Source organism: Homo sapiens, chromosome 12, assembly GCF_000001405.40.
Source record: "Homo sapiens chromosome 12, GRCh38.p14 Primary Assembly".
NCBI lineage: Eukaryota > Metazoa > Chordata > Mammalia > Primates > Hominidae > Homo > Homo sapiens.
The window spans coordinates 22,295,435-22,317,366 of NC_000012.12; the positions used below are offsets into that span (position 1 = coordinate 22,295,435).

The 21,932-nt window shown below is 37.5% G+C and overlaps 1 protein-coding gene and 1 long non-coding RNA gene across 3 annotated transcripts in view; both read right to left on the reverse strand.

Annotated features, from left to right (window-relative positions):
- ST8SIA1 (ST8 alpha-N-acetyl-neuraminide alpha-2,8-sialyltransferase 1) overlaps positions 1-21,932 on the reverse strand; it is a 141,317-nt gene that overhangs the window by 102,044 nt on the left and 17,341 nt on the right. The gene's annotated exons all lie outside the window — the stretch shown is intronic.
- LOC112268093 (uncharacterized) lies at positions 8,510-20,512 on the reverse strand. Its single transcript, XR_002957409.2, has 2 exons — positions 19,890-20,512; positions 8,510-14,374 (listed from the first exon to the last, which is right to left on the reverse strand). It is a non-coding gene; the product is annotated as an uncharacterized LOC112268093 (long non-coding RNA).

The following is a 21,932-nucleotide window of genomic DNA, read 5'->3' on the forward strand; positions in this document are numbered from 1 at the left end:
GCAAAACCTACATGCAGGCCAGGCACTGTGGTTCACACCTGTAATCCCAGCACTTTAGGAAGCCAAGGCGGGAAGACAGCTTGAGCCCAGGAGTTTGAGACCAGCCTGGGCAACATGGTGAAACCCTGTTTCTACAAAAAAAATTTTTAATTAGCCTGATGTGGCGATGCATGCCTGTGGTTCCAGCTACTTGGGAAGCTGTTTGGAGGATTGCTTGAGCCCAGGAGTTCAAGGTTGCAGTAAGCCATGATCACACTACTGCACTCCAGCCTGGGCAACAAAGTGAGACCCTGTTTCAGAACCAACCAACAAAAAGAACCTACTTGATTTTGTATAAGGCTGAACAAAGAGACCCATTTGTGGAAAAGTAACTAAACTATGGCAAGGCTAAAGGAAGACGATTTATTTTAACAAAGTCTGCTTGTACAGAATTCTCTTGGCTATGACTCCCCATCAAAGAATGTTTCTTTCTTCCTAGCATATGGAGGGCAGCTTTCACCTGGGAGTTTTTAATCTCCTGCCTTCAGGAAGAAAAAGGGAAGATAAGAATGTCCTTCTCACATCTGCTGTTCTTCAAGTGTCTTTAGCTTGAAGTCATCCCCGTGTGATAGTGGTCTGTTTTGGGGGGCATAATCTGCTGTCCTTCAAAATCATTCCAGATAGATCAAAGAACAAGTGCAGAGGCCTTAAAGAGGAGCATGCCTGGTATGCTGAAAGGCCATCAAGGAAACCAGCGAATCTAGAATAAAGTGAGCATGGGACGGACTGGTGTATTGGGGGAGAGGCTCACACAGGGTTGGGTGCATGCGGCACTTACTCTAAGTGAAAAGGAGAAGAATCTGCCCTCCCTTACAGATCCTCAAGAATAAATCCAACTCCAAAAGCACAGCAAGACATTTGAATTTGACTAGAAGTTGCAATGGAGGGTGTGGGGCCACTGCACAACAGAAACTTCACAAAATCTTCCAGTGGATGCCTGTTTCTCTCCTGGACATATTTCTAACATTTTCTCTAACCAGCCCCGTCAAGCCCACCCTCTCTCACTCTTGTCTCTGTCCTATCCACAGCAAAGTATCCCTCTATTAGACTCTTCAATTTTGATTCCCCTCATAATCATTTAACACCATGCTCAGATATGAGAAAACCCACCCAAGAAAATATTTCTGTTATACATGAATTCGTATCTTTATGAATAAAATTCTGTTCGTCTGTTAATGGCATCACAGAAAAACAGGGAAGTGGGTATCTATCACATCTGGAGAGTGTGTTTCAGTGGTCTGAAGTTTAAAACATATGTTTGGAGAGATGCAATGAATTCACTTCTGGAGGCTTGAGCAGGAGCATAGGGGTGGGCAGGTCCATCCACTCAGAGAGAGGCAGTAGTTGGGCAGTCATCGTAAGAACAGCTGAAAATACGGTCCAGATCACAAGTACCAGTCACCACATGAACACCTATACTCCACTGGGCTTTTAGACATGTGCGCAAGTAGCAGATGCTCCAAACTGCAGGCAGTGACTTATAATTGAACCATTTCTCGAATATACGTGTTTACACAGCAGGGTGGGATGCAGCGGGGATGTCTTTATCCAATCATGGCCCACGGTGCTCCTGAATAGCACTGGGGAGGCCAGACATTATATAATAGATATAAGAACTCCATTCAGAAACACTTTTTCTTTCTTGTTGTAATGACACCTAGATCTGAGATTATGTCTGTGAAAGATGGGGAGAAGTTTGTGAAAGGCAAAGCAAATTAAAGGAAGAGAAAAAAGATACAGAAACAGCATTATAAATTTCTGAATTATACAGATTTTTTAAGTCAGGGAACTGAACCAGCAAACATTAAGATGATAAGGGAAGTGACATATTTCAGAGGGTAAGACCCTGGAGTCAGCTCCATGGACTCATCCCAGCTGCACTGCCTACTAGATACAGGACTGGACAGTAGCGTCTGTCCTGAAATTTTTCCAGATCCTAATTGTCTCTTTCATGATTCATGGCATACACTTCTGGTATTTCTGTGGGTAAGATTCAAAATTATTTTCTGAGAAAAACTTTGGCTTTGTGCTATGAACCATTTTCACAGAATGGAATTCCGTGTAAACACAAGTCAAAGATTCCCAACTTTCTTTACAGAGTATTAACTGTGCCACCTGCTTGTCTAAAACATATGGGTCTCTCTTTACTCAGCACAGAATATCAGCATTTCAGGTTGTCAACAACCTTTAACTGACTGTCATCCACTTTCCATTAAGGAACATGCTAGCTGAATCTTATTCTGGGAGCTAGAATCTTTATATTTGTGAAATTATGAAATATAAATTTGCTCTTTGACCCCGTTTCCTGGCATACAAGTCTTAAAATCCTCGGAAACTCAAAAATGATGTCTTTTTGTATGCTAATGAGTTGACTGGTGGCTAGAGACCCCTAGGTAGATTCAGGATGGGGGCTGATCATTTAAAAGGCCAAAGCGGGATTACAGGATTAGAACTTTAAGCTGCATTCCCCAAACTGTGGGGAGGAAAGGGTGGCTGAAGTTTAAGTTGATCACCAGTGGCTAATGGTTTAATCAATCATGCCTACATAATGGAGCCTCCATAAAAACCCAAATTGGCAGGATTTGAATAGCTTCTGTATAGCTGAACACCTGGAGGTTCCTGAAGGGTGATGTGCCTCATGAGGGCATGGAAATTCTGCACCCCTTCCTCCATATCTCACTGCATGCATCTCTTCATCTGCATCCTTCATAATATCCTGTATAATAAACAGTAAATGTGTTTCCCTGAGTTCTGTGAACTGCTCTAGCAAATTAATCGAACCCAAGGAGGAGGTTGTGGAATCCCCAATTTATAGCCAGTCAGTCAGATGCACTGGTAAAACAACCTGGGGCTTGTCACTGGCATCTAAAGTCGGGGGCAGTCTCAGGGACTAAACCCTCATCCTGTGGGATATGACTCTATCTCTAGGTAGACAGTGTTGAAATTGAATTGGAAGACACCCAGCTGGGTCCACCACAGAATCAATTGCTTTCTTATTGGTAGGGAGAAATCCCCACACATTTGGTCACAGAAGTCTGTGTTGATTGTTGTTGAGTGGAGTTTGTGCATGGTTTTTTCCTACTCTCAATATTCTTTCTCTATATCAAGTCAAATCATGAGGAAGTAAGCTATTTATATCACATAAAGGTAATTCTTTTTAAACATCAGCCCTATAAATGATCATAGACATAAACAAAGCTATTTTCTACTTCCAGTGGGTCAACTCAGCTCCACACCAACATATTGTGAAAACAGTCAGGCAGGCACTGCCACCTCATCCACCCATTATCCCTCAACTTGTTGCTGTGTTCACTGCATTTGTACTTAATATTGTTTTGTGAATATCACTGGCCATCTTGATAGAAAAGTGCAAAGGTATTGAGAGACTTGAAAGCAACAGTTAAGGAGAAGCATAGGCTTAGAAACAAAAACAAAAGTAGAGATTTTTTTTTAAACTTGGAAGCATTGAGAAAATAAAGGATATTACAAATGTAGACGGAATGAATCATTTGACAAGGAGTGAATAAAGAAGCGACAACTGGCAAAAGGGAAGGAAAATGAGAAACGAAATGGAGTTTTTTTTTCAGTTTGCTGAGAAGATAATGAGGTAAATGTAATGGGATAAATACTTGTAGACAAACTTGTCATAATTTAGAATCTGAAGGTATATTAGATTAAATAATAGATATTTCATTATTTGGGTATTTTCCAATAAAAATATATTGTAGGAAAACATTCTTTCTAAAAAAAGTGTCCTTTTTAAAGAGGTGAACAATTTTTGTCTAATTCAAAGCTTATTTAACTGTTGTATATAAAACAAGGTAAAAAGAACCAGGAAATAAGACAGATGTAAAGAAAGTTATAGAAATAAAGAGGTATTTTCTGGTAAGAAAGCTTAAAGAGAAATCATTTTATATGAGAAGGAATCTTATATAGTAAATTTAGTCTTAGAATAAAAGGTCTGGTTGTTTATGAAAGAGGGATGTTCAGGACAAACCAGAAAGTCCAAGCATGTCATGAATAGTCTGTGTAAGTCCAATAAGAGGCTGTATTAAAAAATGTATAGAGTATAAATCCAATAAGATGATTTATTAAAAAAATTTTTATATGATCAAGTTGTCTATAATTAAAGGGAAATTATAATGGTCTTTCTAGAGATTGGGTTTGATGTAAAAGAACACTAATACACTAAAAAATTGATTAGAACAATAAAATTTTCTTAAGGGATTGACTTACTCTTAACAAATTATAGGAGATTTTAATTTTTTTAACCCAAAGTTCAACTTTTATTGCATCTGGCCATTTTCAGTTTTCTCTCCCCTTTTAAAAGCCACAAAATACTGACACTCTCCTTCAACTCATTTTCAGCTCATATAAGGTTTTTCCCCTCAAGTTCTGTTTGTTGTGGCCTGATGCTAACAATGTTTTCTTAAAGGTCTGAAGGAAATGATTTCTTCCAACATAATATATTCTGTGCACTACAGAAAGTCTTTTCTTTTGCCTTTTGGTAACAGGCCTAACAGATTTTACATTTTATCAAAATTATTCCTATGCCATTATTATTAAGTTTTGGTTTGCTTAGAAATAAAACTAAGATTTAAAAGAATTATTTTTTAATTAAGGTTATTACATCTGTGTATCTTTATGTGCTTTTAAAGTCCTCGTGAAATTGAGTTACAGGGCTTTGACTCCTGGGTCTAAAAAGGACACCAAGTCCTGCTAAATCTTAAAAACTGAAAGCAATTAAAGCCTCATCTCCAGGCCCACTATAAAATGCCAATCCAAAATAAACTGCATTCCTGAGACACAAGGCCAGAAATTAAAGCTATTCAACTCCTCAAGGTCCAGGGACTATTGCAGAAGAGGTGGGTATGTGAGATTGTAAGGCCAATATTGAGAGATGAAATAAGTTCAATTCCTCAGTAAATTAACCATTAACGTCAAAGGCACACTAATGCAAGACCAACATATGGGCCCCTGTATCAGATTAGCAAGGTTTTCTTGAAGCATTAACTGACTCTTTAATAAAACTTAGAAAGGTTATAAAAGGCTTATTGAAGTTATATCTCATGGTCAAGATTACAATTTTATAGATTGTTTATAAAATTTTGAAAAACAAGTTTCATTGGCTTCGTGCTGTTTTTATTAGGGCTTATTGTTTGGAAAACTAAGTCTCCTCTCTCGAAGACTGAAGGTTTTTGCCTTTTGTTGAAATCCTTGAGTTATCATTTTGTTTAAGTGAATGACTTATTTTACAATGACTTGTGATCCAATTTTGTGATAGCAAATGTCTTAACCTTTGATATTTGACAAACTTCTCAAAATCAAATTATAAATTTTGTATTTTTCTGACTTAATTAATCCTTTAAGATGTTAGGCTTCCTAAAGTCCAAAGTTGACATATTTGACGTATTTGGTATAAAAATTATATAGGAAGCATCGTCAAATCTGAAATGGTGTTTGGTTTTCTTTGGGTTGTATTTGTATAAATATGTTATTGGTATGTGTTCCAAAATTATGAGACACTCCTATCATTCTGATATGACTTAGTGTACATTTTCAGTAATAATTATAATTGTTATAATAAATTATTGTGTGCCACAGAGGTAATAAATTTCTTTGTCAATTGTGTCTTTGACTATGGCTGCCCTAAAACTTTTTGTCATCCATGGACAATTATTGTCTTGTTTTGATCCTCCTTAGAAGGTGGTTTTATAATCAGCTGTAAAACTCTAACAAGTGCTCTTGAATGAAGGTGTCTGATAACTCTGGAGATTGTGACATCAGAATAGTGGTAAAACTTTCAGGACCCATGGAGAGCTGAAATGTTTATGAATATCAAGCAGAATAGGTATTAACTGCACAGACTAAACTAATAGAAGACTGGAGTAATATTTTTGACTTTTTGCTTAAAATGTTGCTGATCCTTTGTTTTGTTTTTCAGAGTAAAGGAAACTTTTTTTTTGAGCTATTGACAGCTTTTAACAATTAAGTATACTCCTATAAATAAAATTTGGAGCATATTTATTTCTCTCCACCTGATTTCTCCAGAATTCAGAAACTATTTGTGAATATTCTTAACTTATGGCAATATAGTTATTTGCATAAGTTCAATAAGAATATGTTTTCATTTGTAACAGGACACAGTTGGAGAAACTGATTATTTTACCACGGCTTTGACTGGCATGGTGTGCTTTCCTTTAAGGAATCGAAGTTGGCTTAGAAAGCCAATAAAAGCCTTTTGGGAAAGCTGGCCTCATACCTTGTCTATGCAGTTCCTGTACAGGGTTCCTGACCTGTGTTAAGTAAAGAATGTCACTTTCTGGCAGGCTCAGGAGCCCCAGCCTTTTAATACCTTGGAACCTCAAGAAGAGAGTAATTCATCCAACTCATAGGTATTTGATGGTACAAATCCATGGCTGGGCTCAGCTTTAAAAAAATCTTATCTGAGATTCCTTTTATGGAACAAAGTTCCATCAAAGCCAATATAAAAAGCCTATGTGAAAGATAATTATTCTTGCTGTACTTTATACAAATAATCTGGGCAATATAATAAAGCAAATCAGTCCTACCATGATTTGTCTTTAGTAAAAATAGGAAACTGGAGACAGAAAAATTATGTTTCAAAAACTATAGTACATCTGATGTTAGATTCCAGTTTTGCCTAAGGTTTTTCAATTTTTATTATTTTCTAAGTTTAGACTGAATTCTAATTTTTCCTGGCTGCAAGTATCCAAAAATGATGTTTTCGATTTTTTTCTTTCTTTTCCTTTTTCCCCCCAATTTTCCTAATTTGAAATCACTAAAAACTAACCTTTGCTTTCTTAAAGCCCTGCTAACTGAATTTAGACAACTTAAATAAACTTCAGAAGAAAATAACAGCAACCTATTTACACACATAAGCCACTTTCATACCTGCCTACTGATGTATGGACTTCAGAGTAATGTGGCCTATACCAATTTTCCAGGATTGTTCTTTTGTTATTGTTTTTCTCCCTTCCTCCCCTATTTTCTCTTCATAGAGCATGAGACTTCTCAACCTGCTAAAAATGAGCTTTCCTAATAACTCGGGACCTACCTATATAGGAATAAACCATCCCAGACATGAGAGATCAGATAAAACCTGAGACCAAAGGCTAATTTTCTTGTAAAATGTTTTCTCCAAAAATTTTAGAAAAGAAAAGGGGGAAAATGTCAAAGGAAAATAAATCCTGGGGCCCTAAAAATTACTAAGCTAAAGGGAAAAGTCAAGCTGGGAACTGCTTAGGGCAAAGCTGCCTCCCATTCTATTCAAAGTCATCCCTCCCCTCACTGAGATAAATGCATGTCTGATTGACACCCTTGGAAAGGCTAATCAGAACTCAAAAAGGGTGCAACCATTTGTCTCTCACCTACCTGTGACCTGAAGCCCCCTCCCTGCTTGAGCTGTCCCACCTTTCTTGATGGAACCAATGTACATCTTACATATATCAATGGATGTCTTATGTCTCCCTAAAATGTGTATAAAACCAAGCTGTGCCCCAACCACCTTGGGCACATGTTGTCAGGAATTCCTGAGGCTGTGTCATGGACACACGTGCTCAACTTTGACAAAATAAACTTTCTGAATTAAATGAAACCTGTCTCAGATATTCAGGGTTCACATTTTGGTAACCACAAAGAGATTCTAAGTGGAGGTGCCTCTGACCTTTGCCAAATCTTCTGTTGGTGCTTGGTACCAGCTAGAGGTAGCTTTAAGGCTCAGGCCATTAGGACAATTTGCTGAAGCCTGAAAGAGCCCCCTCCAGAGAATCCCTGATCTCCCAAAATTAGGTCAAGATCTAAAGTTTATATTGCCATACAACTCCTTTTTTTTTTTGGAATTTGGCTTGCTTCCCACACAGGGAAAGCAGGTTTCCTGCTTCCTTGGCAATGGAAGGCAGAGGTAACTATTTTATGATGTCTGAACTCTCTTCCAACAGGGAAGATGAATTTGAGATTTTTCCTGCTTCTAGGATGGTAGAGAGCAGTCTTCAGCCTGAGACCCATTCCTAGGTAAGTAACTGAATCGGGGTTTGTTTTTGGCTAAAGTTAAGATTAACAACCAGCTGGTTTTAATTGCTCCTTATCATTAGAATGCTCAATAGTTGTATAAGTTGTTTTGCTTAACTGTTTGTTTTGTTTTGCTTAACTGTTTTTTGTTTGTTTTGCTTAACTTTTTTTGTTGTTGTTGTTTTTGTTGTTTGTTTCTGTTTTTGTGGTTGTTTCCGTCTTTTTCCCATTGGGTTTGATCAACTCCATCCGACTTAATCAAATTAGAAGGAAAGTTCCAAATTATGGGAAAAGGCCTCTGAAGTGGCTAAATCCGCCCCGCCACCACCACCACCACCCTGCCACACACACACACACACACACACACACACACACACACACACAAAAGTGGTGTGGTACAGGGAGAAAAACGAACAGCAAAAAACAGAAAAGACTTTCATTTTTGACTACTTAAAAGGCTTTATTTACATAACAAGGCCACCTTTTTGCTAGTCAGGCCAACCAAAAGAGCAATGGCTGTCGTCTCACGCTGCTGTTCCATAGCTAAGGGTTCTGCCATCTTTTTTTCCACCACAATAGCCTGGGTTTGTTTCCTAAATCAAGCCCTTTCTGGTTTGATACTTGGTACTTCTAAAATAACAGCAATTTGTTCCAGCTGAACTACGGTCATAAGATTTAAAAAGATTTTTTTTAAGGAGCTCAGTGGTTAAAAGTCAGCTTAATTACAAGCTAACATCCAAAAATGTATGCATGTGTGTCTATGTGTTTGTATTTAAAAGGCCTTCATGTTGGCATTTTTTTTCTCCTAGGACCTTGTCTTTTTCTTTTTCTTTTTTTTTTTTTTTTTTTTTGAGCAAAAGTTTTTTTCTTCTCAGTTGACTGAATTCTGTTTTCTTCATTTACTTCTTCTGTCTCTTCTTTCTCTTGCACCCTCTGCTGAATGAGGAACCTAAAATAGTTTATAACAGCCTTAAAGAAAACAGAGAAAGTGCCAGACTCCCTTTGGGGGAGAAACCGGTTTTTCCTTATGGAATCCCAAGAGCATAAACAGACCAGTTCATCTCAACTCTTAAACTATTTGCTTTTGTATTTTGTTATCTGATTTATTGACTAAAATAATTATTGCAACAGAGGCTACTCTCAGGTTTTTAGGGAGAGTGTAGTTTAGACACTCAGAAAAGTCTTTGTTTAAAAAAACCTTTTTTAAAGTGCACTGTAAAAGCATCACATGGTCTAGCCTCATAATAATTCTCCTTTTTTGGAGACCCAGGATTCAATGTGGGCTCTGCCCAGAGCTCAGATCCAGTTAAAAGACAAGTAGTCCCTATCTAAATAAAACTGGTCTCCTCTTACAGTCCTATGGTAGATTTGTATAATTTTGTGCTTGACATCCATCTTTAATCTCTCTCCAGCTCTACCAGACTTTTTCTTTCAGTACCTTGAGATGTAAATTTTGCTATCTGATTTTTCACTAAGAGTTGTTTCCTTCAATATGCAGATTTAGGGCTATTTAGCTGACAACTGCCAGAGTGATGAAACAGATTATCAAGAGTTTGCAAGTCTAAGATAGGAAAAACACAAAAGAAGAGGTCTTAGGAATCTATAAATGTACTTCTATCGGTATGCCTAATATATCTCTTTATTTATGTGCTGTGTACACAATGTTTCACTGCTAAAAATATATAAAAGAGCTCTAATGAATGGGCTTAAAGAAAAATAAAAGTGCTTAAATCAAACATTTTATCAGAAAAAAGGATAGACTAGTCAAATGCTTTTTCAAGTGTACATGACTTAAGTAGAATCTTTAATAAATAAGCTAGCTTTAAAATTACAGGTACGGTAATATTAGAATTGTCTTAAGAATTTCCAGCATACTTTTTTTTTTTTTTTTTTTGAGATGGAGTTTTGCTCTGTCTCCCAGGCTGGAGTGCAATGGCGTGCTCTCAGCTCACTGTAACCTCCACTTCCCGGCTTCAAGCTATTCTCCTGCCTCAGCCTCCCAAGTAGCTGGGATCACAGGCGCCCACTACTATGCCCAGATAATTTTTGTATTTTTAGTAGAGACAGGGTTTCACCATGTTGGTCAGGCTGTCCTCGAACTCCTGACCTCAGGTGACCCACCTGCCTCGGCCTCCCAAAGTGCTGGGATTACAGGCATGAGCCACCATGCCCAGCCTAGCATACATTTTTGTTTGCATTTATTGACCAAGCAATCTCATACTTATCCCTGGCAAATTCTATAAGGTGTCAAAATTTGGCATTGGGGTTACCTAACTATAAACCCAGCCCAAAACAGAATGATCTTTGCTTGGGTAATTTTTAATAAATAAGACATTAATATTGGTTTAATGAAAATAGCTACATCTTGAATTATTTAGTAAAATTACCATAACTTCTAATCTTGTGGTTTTGGGCAGTCTAGTCCACAGGCAGTAAGAAGGTTTGTTTTGGGAAAGGACTATCATCATCTTTGTTTCAAAACTAAACTATAAACTAAGTTCCTCCGAAAGTCCAGGAATGAACAAAGACAGCTTGGAGGTTAGAAGCAAGATGGAATCAGTTAGGTCATATCTTTTTCACTGTCTTTCACCTACCTGTGACCTGGAAGCCCCTTCCCTGCTTGAGTTCTCCTGCCTTTCTGGATGGAACCAATTTACATCTTACATATGTTGATTGATGTCTTATGTCTCCCTAAAATGTATAAAACCAAGCTGTGCTCTGACCACCTTGGGCACATGTCGTCAGGACCTCCTGAGGCTGTGTCATGGGCACGTCCTCAATCTTGGCAAAATCAACTTTCTAAGTTAACTGAGACCTGTCTCACATATTCAGGGTTCACACCTTATTCTTTCTTTCTTTTTTTTAGTATGCCCTCATTTTGGAATAGCTTACAATCTATTTCTTTCTTGAGAAAGGGTACAAGCAAAGTACAATTTTTGAGGCTTTGGATGTTGAAACCACTTCCTAGTTTGGCTGGGTAACAAAATTCCAGAATGTTTAGAAATAATTTCCCTTAGATTTTGAAGCCATTATTCATTGTTTTCTGACTTTCAGTGTTTCTATTCAGTAATCTGACATCATTCTTAGAAGTAACCATTTTATTATAATGATTTTTCTTCTTTAAATGTTTGTAAGATGTTAACTTAAGGATTCTGAAATGTCACTAATATGCCTTGGATATGTCTTTTTATATTCATTGTGCTGGACACTTGGTGTTCCCTTGCAACCAGAAAACAGGTCCTTCAGCTCTGGAAACAGCCTTTTATTGTTTCTTTAATAACTTCTGCCCTCTCTTTTATATTTCTCTCCCTGGAACTCCTATTATCCATACTTCTCACATTTTTATCACTTTTTTTCCTTTCTGTCCTTTCAGGAGTGATTTCCTAAACATTATTTTGCTAATCCATTTGTTGATGTTTTAATTTCTACTATCACATTTTTTAAGAACAAAAAGTCTTTCTTGGCTTCAAAGGGTTCTATTTGCACAGATTCCTACCCTTTGTGAAAGCAGTATATTTTCTTTGGAAGGATCATAACTATATCATTTGTTCTGTATTCTTCTGCCTCCTGCTTGTCTGTTTTCTGTGTTTTTTCTAATGCTTTGTTTGGTCTCTGTTTTTTTATGTGAGAGGCTTTCTAGAAATATTTACTGATCCATAGCTGTCCATTTACATTTGAGAATGAGGCACTACACAGCTGACTGAAAGATCTTTATGCTTGGGTGGTAATTACCAAGCGCTGGGCTTCATCAGAGGTTGATCCACGGGGACTCAGCCATTTCACAAATGTCAGTCTCCACATAACAGCAGTCTTTTCTCTTGGCCTAGTCAATCTCCCCAGAAAGAAACCCTCCAATATCTTGGTATGGTTTAAGCCTAGTTGCTAACATTCTGCCAGCCGGGTGATAAGATGGTCTGAGGTCTCTCTCTTCAGGATACGACCTTTCCTGTCTTCAGCTAATGTCCCAAGTCCAGTGCCTCTCTGTTTCATCTCCAGTCTTCTAACAGATGGGAAAGGGCAACTCCTTGCACCTGTGGGTAGGGGGAGAGCAGACACACTTCCAGCCCATCTTCCTGGTTTTAGTGACATCAGCACTGAATTTGCAACAGAACTGACTTCCTTTTACTGCTTCCCGTGTTGTGAGTACTGAAGTTGTAGATTTCTGTACTCTCCTAATCAGATATCACTAGGCCATCTGTTTTTCACCTCCTAATATTTTGTTGATGTCTTTTGTCTGCTATTTTCTTCTCTTCCACTATCTTCATTCTTACAAGTTTATGCCTATTTACATTCTTCTCTTCTCATGTTATTAGTCTTTCAAGAGGGATCAGAAAATCATAAGCCAGGTGGTATTATCCTTTTCAAGCTTAACTTCTTTACTAATGAGTTTTCAATACAGTTTTCTGATTTTAAAACATACGTGTATAAAAAATTACTGAAGGGCTACCAAGAAAAAAAAATTTATTTTGAGATGAGAGGTCACAATATGTTGCCCAGGCTTGTCTCAAATTCCTGGGCTCAAGTGATACTCCCGCCTCAGCCTCCTGAGTAACTGGGACTACAGGCATGTGCCACCACACCCAGATTACCAAGTAAATTTTTGATGGTGGTTGCTTTAAAGAAATGGAAATAAAATATTAGGGCATGTGGGAAGTTATAATTTTCATCTTATATGTTTTTATAGTTTCTTAGTGTCATGAACATGTTTTATCATTTTAAATCTGCTTAACTTTTAAGAGCTATTAAAAATTTGAAAGTTATAGATGCTTGTTATAGAAAATCTAGAAGATATAAAAGATAACAAAGAAGAAATTAAAAGTTAAAAAAGAACATAACCATACAAAGAAAAATACTATTAACAGTTTTCTCAGTGTGATCTTGACATTAGATTCTCAGCCTTTCTTCAAAATCGGTACACACTTACCTATCAATTATCTCTGCTCTCTGACATCTTCAAAATCTCCTTCTTAACTAGATCTTTAATTTTTGCCCATAAAAATACTTATTTCTCAACTAAATTAAAGAAAAATTCTTTCAAATATGACATCTCTTCAAGATATGATAAAATCTCTCTGATTTTGACAAACCAAATATCTCAAAATAATTACCGCCTCTATTTCTTCACCATCCTTATTACTTTCCTCCAGTCCATTACCTCTACTGAAACTGCCCTCTTAAAGGTCTTTAAAGATATCTGAATGATCAAATCAAATCAAATGGCCGTTCCTCATTACTCATCCTGATCGCTGAAGCATTTGACACAGTTGACCAAATTTCTCCTTCTTATAAGTCTCCCTTCCCTGATATCCACGGCAGTCTCACATCCTACATATCATCAACTCCTCTCTAAGTGCTTTTTCTCTCTCCCCTGATAAAACAGCACTTTTTCCTCCCATCACCTAAATATGATTGTCCCAAGGCTTACACCTTGATCCTCAGCATTTATTATTCTAATCATAATGAAGGATTGAGTCACAGCCACATTCCTTATATCCATCCCAAGAAAACTAATATCTCTAAAAGAGATACAAAAGAGAACAGACCTACGATGGACCATCAGGAGATGTCTAAAGTATTGTAAACTAAAAATGAAATCCTAAGCCCCCCAAGCAACTGAATGGACACTCTCCTGGCGAAGGGGACCCCAAGATAATCTTGAAAACTAAGTTCTTGGCCATGACGAGGGATAGGAAGTTGGACACACCTTGCTAGACCTCCTCCCTCGCTAACTACCATTAGCTTTTCTTCCCTAAAGACTAAAGAGAAACCGGCCCTTTCAAAGAACTCCACCACTGATGTCCAACATCCATCTGACGCTGCCCCTCCTTTTTGCCTGATGAGACACCACCGACTACAGAGTGGTTTTGGCCAGTCTATGGAGAATGCACAGTAAGGGTCTTTGTGTCCTCTGCTTCACCTTTTGACATCAGAGGGCCAAACACTCCACCCTCAGATCATGCTAACACCACTGCTTTTTGCACATGAGACCCAAGAAGGGGCATGAAGCTCAATTGTACATGTACATGTTTCTCCTTTCATTAATATTCATGAGTCTTTCTGTAGCTTATTGAATATGTAGATTTGGCCACTCTGCTCAGTATAAATTCTTGATCCCTTTGCCCCTCTCTCAAAGTATCTGTTTCTGGCTTCTGGTGGGAGGCTATGCTTCCAAACCTAGAAGAATGGCCACTTTCAGGCTGCAACACTTTATGAGAAATAAAGCTCTCCTTTCCAAATTTTTGAATCTCATCATTCTTTAGTTGGCAGTAGAAAGGTAGGTCTGGATCAGTGAAGAAAGGAGGGCCTACAGGAAAAAGAAGAAGAAATTTAAAAAATATATTTCGTTCTTACTATGCACAGATGCTATGCCATGTCCTTTCATATATATTACCTTCATTTCATTCTCAAAACAATCCTATGAATTAGGTACTTTTATTTATCTTTACAAGAGTTAAGCAGCTGCACAAAATGACACAGCTATGATCCAGGTTATAAAAGAAGGAAGCCAGACTGATGTGATGGAAAAAACAGAGGCTTGGAGATTACACAGCTTTGATGCTACCACTTACTGCTCTATGGCATCGGTCAAATACAACTCTCTGGTCTTCAGTTTTCTCATTTATAAAATAAGGACAAAATTAGCTGATTACAAATGAAAGGCTTATAAATAAGGTGTATAAAGTACCTAGTACATAGGAAGTGCCCATCAATAATTGTTATTCTGACTCTATGAATATGGGTTATTTTCATTAACAAAAGAATAAAACACTAGGAGAAGGAAGGCAAGAGAGTTTCAAAAAGAAGATCTGTTTCTTTCAAGGCATAGATCCAAGCCCAGCTGAAGCCCAGGTCTCTAGTGGCTGCACAACCTTGTGTCTATAAGGGGCCTGTCTGTGCTAAAGACAAAGTGGCAGGTTCCCCCTGTGACTGAGCAAGAGTCAGTGCAATAACTCGTCACAGTCATCTTGTGAGCTGGGAAAATGCTCAATACAGTAACTCGATTGCCTAGAGACCATATGTCCCCAAATGAGACAGCTCAGATCACCACTGAATCTTAAGAGAAGCTGCATCTATGCTTTCTGGATATGTTGTTTTGATTTCAAAAAATGTTTAAGGCAAATACAAGTGTGGTTTTTAAAAAAGAAACAATAACAACATAAAAGCAAAGCATATACGCCTCGGTGGATTTAGAAAAATCAGACTACAAAAAATGCTGACTTTTCTCTACACTCACTAGATAGCATGTCTTACAATATCGTACATTCCTTTTCCCATAAAAATAAATAAAAATATGATAAATCAACATGGCAACCCAAAATGAATTGACTAAAGAAAAACACAAGCTGAACAGAAGAGCTGAGACACGCATTATAGCCCCTGTAAGTGTTTCAGACAGCAGCTGCAGACTGTTCCCAGACACTCTGATAATGGAGAACATAATTAGTTTTCTTCAGCAAAGAAAAATAGAAGAACTGATGAGGTCAAAACCCATAAGTTAATTCAATTTAATGAATATTAGTGTTTGTTTCAATAAATCCCATGTGCTCAAAACTGCAGGTCACAGAAGACATGCAAAACACAAAGAACAGGCAGGGCATCCAGGTAATCACTCATTCATTCATTCACCTACTACTTATTATGCACTGAGTGTGTGTCAAAGACTACGTGCTAAACTTTGGGAATGAAGGTGAATAAGATGCAGTTTCTGTCCATAAGAATCTCATGGTCTTGTGGCAAGAGACAGCAGCAAATTATCCCAGCACATCTTATCAGTACTTGGAAGAGGACACACAGACTGCCACCTAGAGAGATAATTGGAAGGGTGGGTGGGGTGCAAGACAGCAGGTAGAGGGGGATAGAAGAATTTCTAAGGTCAAGGTGTAAACTGAGAATCGAAGGACTAGAAGGATTTATTCAGACAAGCAAAAGGCTAAGCAACATCATTCCCAAACACCACAGGCCAGTGCCAGTCCACAGCTATTTCTTCAATTGTCTCTGGCAAAATGAGGAAAATATAGGCAATGTGTGAGGTTTTCATAGTTTATTTTAATTAGTGGTCTTTATTCTGAGATGATGTCCTTTCTACTTTTTAAAATGTTAACATATAAAGGCTTCAATGAAATGGTGGTATTTTATAATTTCCTTATTGCTGTAATACAAAATCATCAACACTATTCATGTTTTTATTTATTTGGCAATTCTCTAGCCCATTAAATCCTAAATTTGGGAAACTGTGCATGATGCATCAACAGAATCACCAGTACTTGGCACGATCAATCAGCAGAGTACACACAGCAAGCAAATAAACAATAATAGTTTATGTAGGAGATTAATTGCATAAAGTAGGCAAGACCTCCATTGCAAAGGACTTTAAATGGCTGGCTAGGAAATTTAGGCTTCATCCCATAGTCAAAAAGGATGAAGGTGACTGTCAAAATTGAGGAATTAGTCAGTGGGCAAGTCCCCTACACTTTTTCTCTGGTGCTCCTTTCTAAAATGTTGATGCTGATAAGCACCCAACCTACCAGGCTTTGTGGGTACATAAACCACAACTGAGATGAGCTGATGATGTTCCCCATAAATTCTAGTGTGTTGCCCCAAAGGTAGAGGGTTAACATTAATAAAACCCTCCCTCTCCTCTAAATAAACGTATAAACTAACCAGCTGTTAAAATCTCCCCTCCTGGCTCTTTCTCCTGGATCACCTTTGGCCAGGATACTGCCTACCAGGGTCCTAGAATAGGACATGAAGTGAAGAAAACCAAAAGACACTTCTTAGGTTCTAATAAATGAATGGCACATCTTTCCCCAGACTTTGATTTTTATTTGTGATGGAGGACCACCTAGTAGCAATCTACTAAGTTAATTTTAAGAGTTATTAAAATTCAGTATTCAAACACCAGAACTGCCACATGTGAGAGTTTACCAAGGATTCTCATTCAACATTCTCCAAAGAAGCCTGGCTGCTGAGCAGCAGTTGGCAACAGAACAATGCTTCCTTTGTGCACAGACACATGCACGGTTTGGAAATTCCCACAATTGTCGGAAAAGACATGTTTTTTCAGTGCATCATTAGTGTTATGGGGACTTGGCTACGATTTTCAATTGCTATTGCTCTTGTTGGTAAATATAAATTAGTCATTGCTGGATTAAGCAAAAGCAGATTGTTTGTATTTGGTGTGGCAACCAAGTAGGGGCGTCACGGAAATGAAAAAAAAAAAAAAACAATAAATTTGTAAAAATAATTTGGTATTTAAATTCCTAAAAGCATTAAAGTGGTCCCGATGGACACAAGCAAAACTTTACTAAACTGAGTATACCATATTCTTTTCAATGCCGAAGTCTTCTAAAAGTTTTAATCAGAACTTTTAGTTAGCTTAGCAAAAAACTTTCATTTCTTGTGAATTACTGGTCTAACCCTTTGGTATACAGAGATGATAATTTACATTGATATTTTATGCCATAATTTTGGAATAACTTTTAAATTTGAGACATATCTGTAAAATTTACAGTTTAAATATGAATCATCTATAAATGCGCTGGTAGAGTCCGAGCTCATGGAGGCAGGCCATACCAAATGTGAATTCTGGCCCTATCTCCTACTACATATGAGACCTTGAGTATGTTCCATAGCCTCTCTAAGCCTTAGTTTTCGCAACTGCACAATAGAAATTAAATAGTACCTCCCTCATACATTAGTAGAGAGAACTAATAAAGCTCATACATATAAACCCCTTTGCATGGAAACTGTCACATTTCTCAACCACTTAGGCATTAGCAGCAGTAGTATTATTTAAGTTCATTTTTTTTCAACAACAGTAAAAACAGGTAAGATAAAAGGGCAAGAAAGCTCAGCGCAGTCAAGCTACCAAATAAACACACTTGAGTTTTGCCAATGAAGGAAATAGGAAAGGAACAGAACAAATGTTGGAGGAGTTATCTCCACACAGAAACCATGAGGCATAGAAAATGGGATAATGGCCAAATACACTCAAAATGAGAAGCAAGAGGATTCTAGCCTGTGCCAAAGGGCCTGGATAAACATTTGTCCACAAATGTCACCTATTTCAGTGAATCTAGACAACTAAGCTGGATACCCTCGATGTTCAACAACAAAAAAGAATCACTGGAACGTATACTTAATTGCACTCATATTGATGAATTTATGCATAAAGCCAATTTACCAATTTTTACGCTAATGATTTTAACTTTCACACAGGTACTGCTATATCTGGAACATGCCAGGAATGTCTATGGAGCCATGAGCATGTGTTGCCAGCAGGAAGGTGCCCCAGGCCATATGGACTGACCAATCAGTGTCCAGATACCTGACACCAGCAGATATGTTCAACTTATGCCCTGGTATTTGCTCATAATGCAAATGTAGAAATTTTCATTCTTTAAAATGTCTATCTCTTTAAAAAATATTTTGGTTGCATTTGTTCCATGTAGGTGTGTCTATGTTTGGGTTTGTTGTAGGGTAAGGGGTGCATTTGGAATAAGCATTTTGTGGTCCTTAAAACCGTGAGTTGCTTTGTCTGAGGAGGGATAAAGGAGGCAATTAAGGATGTCAAGGAAGCTGTTTTCCCCATCCATCCAGACTCCTGCTAGCTTAATCCCACCACATGTACAAACAGCTGCTGCAAAATGGGACAGGACAGAGAAACTGACAACATGGCTACATGAAACCCTGCACTCTCCCCCTCCTTCCTCCATGCTCACTAGTACTACCCTTCACGGTATGTTTTTAGCCATCAAAGAACTCTCAAACATGATTATCCCACAAGGCCAAAATATGTTAACCCAGAGAGAAGAAAGCCAGCCAGTATGCCTCCTAACACAGTGTTTAACCTCCTCCTCAACGTATGCCATCATGGTGATAGCTTTAACTTTTCAGTCACCAGAGCATCTACTGGGAGGATCACTTGAAGACAATTCAGTGCATAACTGATAAAACCTACAGGAACACAACAAGAATCCTATCTAACAATTTAAAGAAAAATTTAAAGAAAAAAATGGAATAACTGGCTCAATTAGCAGAAGAAAACTCAGTTCTGGTCCACATTCCATGATATAGAGCAAGAGGACCCAAGTAGTGTCAAACCTGTCCAGTATTGAATTGTGTATCTTCCTTCTCTTCCACAAACTTTACAAAATCATTTCCTTATTCTGGAGGATTTTCTGTTGTGTCTGTTAGATCTGCCCATTCTATGCCATTCCCATTGTTTGTACTCTAGACTGGGCTCTCGGCATGACTGTTTCTTAACTCACATCCCTGGCTCCAGGCGTACTTCTCCCAGATTCATGCTCCTAATCACAGTTACCATGTTACTTACATACTCCAGAGCTGACGATAACTCTCAAACTCCAACTGAAGCTCATCCTAACCGCCCAAGGTTTTCTTTCATTTCTCCCACTCACATAATGCTGCTCAAACCAACCATTCAGCTAACTCTCAACCAAAAACCATTTCTCAGATTTTTCTCAGGCTCAGAATATGCATGACTGTTTCTCTGCCAATTCAAATCCCACTCACCCTCAAGATTAAGTTCAGCACTCCTCTCTGCTACCAAGTACCAGCATTTAATTGTCTGACCCACTAGTTACAATTACCTGGAGATCAGAGACTATGCCTTACACTTTCTTTATATTCTCCCTTGAAGCTGTCCTCATAGTAGAAACTCAATAATGACTCGTTGAATTTAAAAAAAAAAAGTGCTAAACAGAGTTGTAAATTCTATCACTTGCAAATAAGAAGCGTCTATTTCTGTCATTTTTCCTACTCCTTATTCATCCCCATCCCAACCACCCATCACAGACCTGTGCTTCACTGACAGAGGACTTGGTTTAGAGCAACCGTTCTTTCTCCCAGTAAGATTCATGCAGTAATCCCACTGCTAGAGAAAATATAGCAAAATTAACACGTACTGATTTTTAAAACCTAGAGAAGTTTCCTTTCTGAGCAGAACATCTATTTTTCCTCTTGCTTTCCATTTCCCCACAAGAATCTAAACTATTTTCCTTCTCTACCTCCCGTGCTCCCTCCTAAAATAATGACATTTCCAGAAACCAGATTCTTTTGATTTAAGCATCTCACAGTGAGCTGTGTTTCCTTTCAAACCGAGAACCTATAGTGAAGGGCAAGAGGAGAATATGCAGCAGCAAACCTTGAAGTAATGAGGGAACTAAACACCTCTGAACAATCCAGAAGAGATAAGAGTAGTTAGGGCAAGCAAATAAATTCACATTCACAAACCCCTTAATGTAAAAAAAAAAAAAAAAAAAATTCCCCTCACAGACAGGCAATGCTGTATGGTGAAATCATTGTTCTTAGAGTCAAAAGTCCATCGGGATAAACAGATAATGCCTGAGGGGCTTAAAACTTAGATGATGGGTTGATAGGTACAGCAAACCACTATGGCACACGTTTACCTGTGTAACAAACCTGCACATCCTGTACATGTAGCCCAGAACTTAAAATAAAATTAAATTAAATATTTAAAAAAGATAGAATTCTAAAAAAACTAAATACTCTGTTTAGGAAAATAAAATAAGAATTAAATATACAAGTAAATATTCTTAAACAAGAAGTTTCAGTTCTTAATAATAACATATAAATGAGTGAAATTCAAATAAAAAATCTCAACAAGAATCATTTGAACTTGCAAAACAATCTTAATTGTATCTGAGAGAAAAATATGACACAATAGCACAGAAAATTCTGACAAAGAAACAGTGATTGGCCCAGCATATATTAAAATGTACTATAAAGCTATGGTATGGCTTTAGAAAAGAACAAGTGAGACACAACTATGGAAGAAAAGTGGGACTTCTGAAATAGACCCACACATATTGGATTATCTAGAATGGATGGACTTGGCATTACAAATTAGTGGGGAGAGGTGAATTTTTGTTTTTGTTTTTGTTTCAGTAACATCTTGTGGAAAAAGTTGGATCTCTACCTCACTATACTAAAACAAATCACAGATAGATCTCAAATTTACATGCAAAAAGTTAAATCATAAAAATACCAGATGAAAATGTTTTGGGCTGCACGATTCATGACTCGAAGGCTCAAAAGCTATAAAAGAAAAAACTGATGAGGTTGATTGCCTGATAATTTTTAAAGTCGTTATGGAAAAAAAATTCAAACATAAACGTAAGCAGTCATAAGACAAATTGAGAAAAATATTTGCAACAGATGTGACAAAAACGTCTACTACATTCCCTTAACAAATAAAGAACACTTAGTATCAAAAAAGAAAAGATGAACCACCCAAGAAGAAAGTGGCTAAGACACATGAATGTGCCCCTCGCAGGAAAAGAGAGCTGAGTCTCACTCATCAATACAATTATAATTTTTCACCTATATATTGGCAAAATTGTTTAAAGTTGATAACATTCAGTATCGGGAAAAAAAAACAGGCTTTCTCATACACTCTTGGTCACAAAACAGATGACTTCAATTGGAACACAATTCATAAATATCAGTGTAAATCTAAATGTGCTGTCTCATGACCCAGAAATCTTTCCTTTAAGAAGCTACTCTGTGGAGATAATTGCAGGAGCAAAAAACATGTTTCCAAGGATTTTTAAGGCATTTTTTTTATTTAAAAAAAGAAAAGGAGAAACATTATGGTCAACTCTAAAATCATTTTACATTTTATCTACTTTAAAAAATAAAACAGTATTGCTTTGTCCTACACATACTAAGTGGGGTATCTACTGATAGACGTTGTGGGTGGGAAAGAGGATATTGTTAAAAACAATTTATTACGTGATTTGATTTTTTATTTAATAAATGTGGATGGGTTATCTATTATGATATAACAAATTACCACAAACTTAGCAGCTTAAAACAGC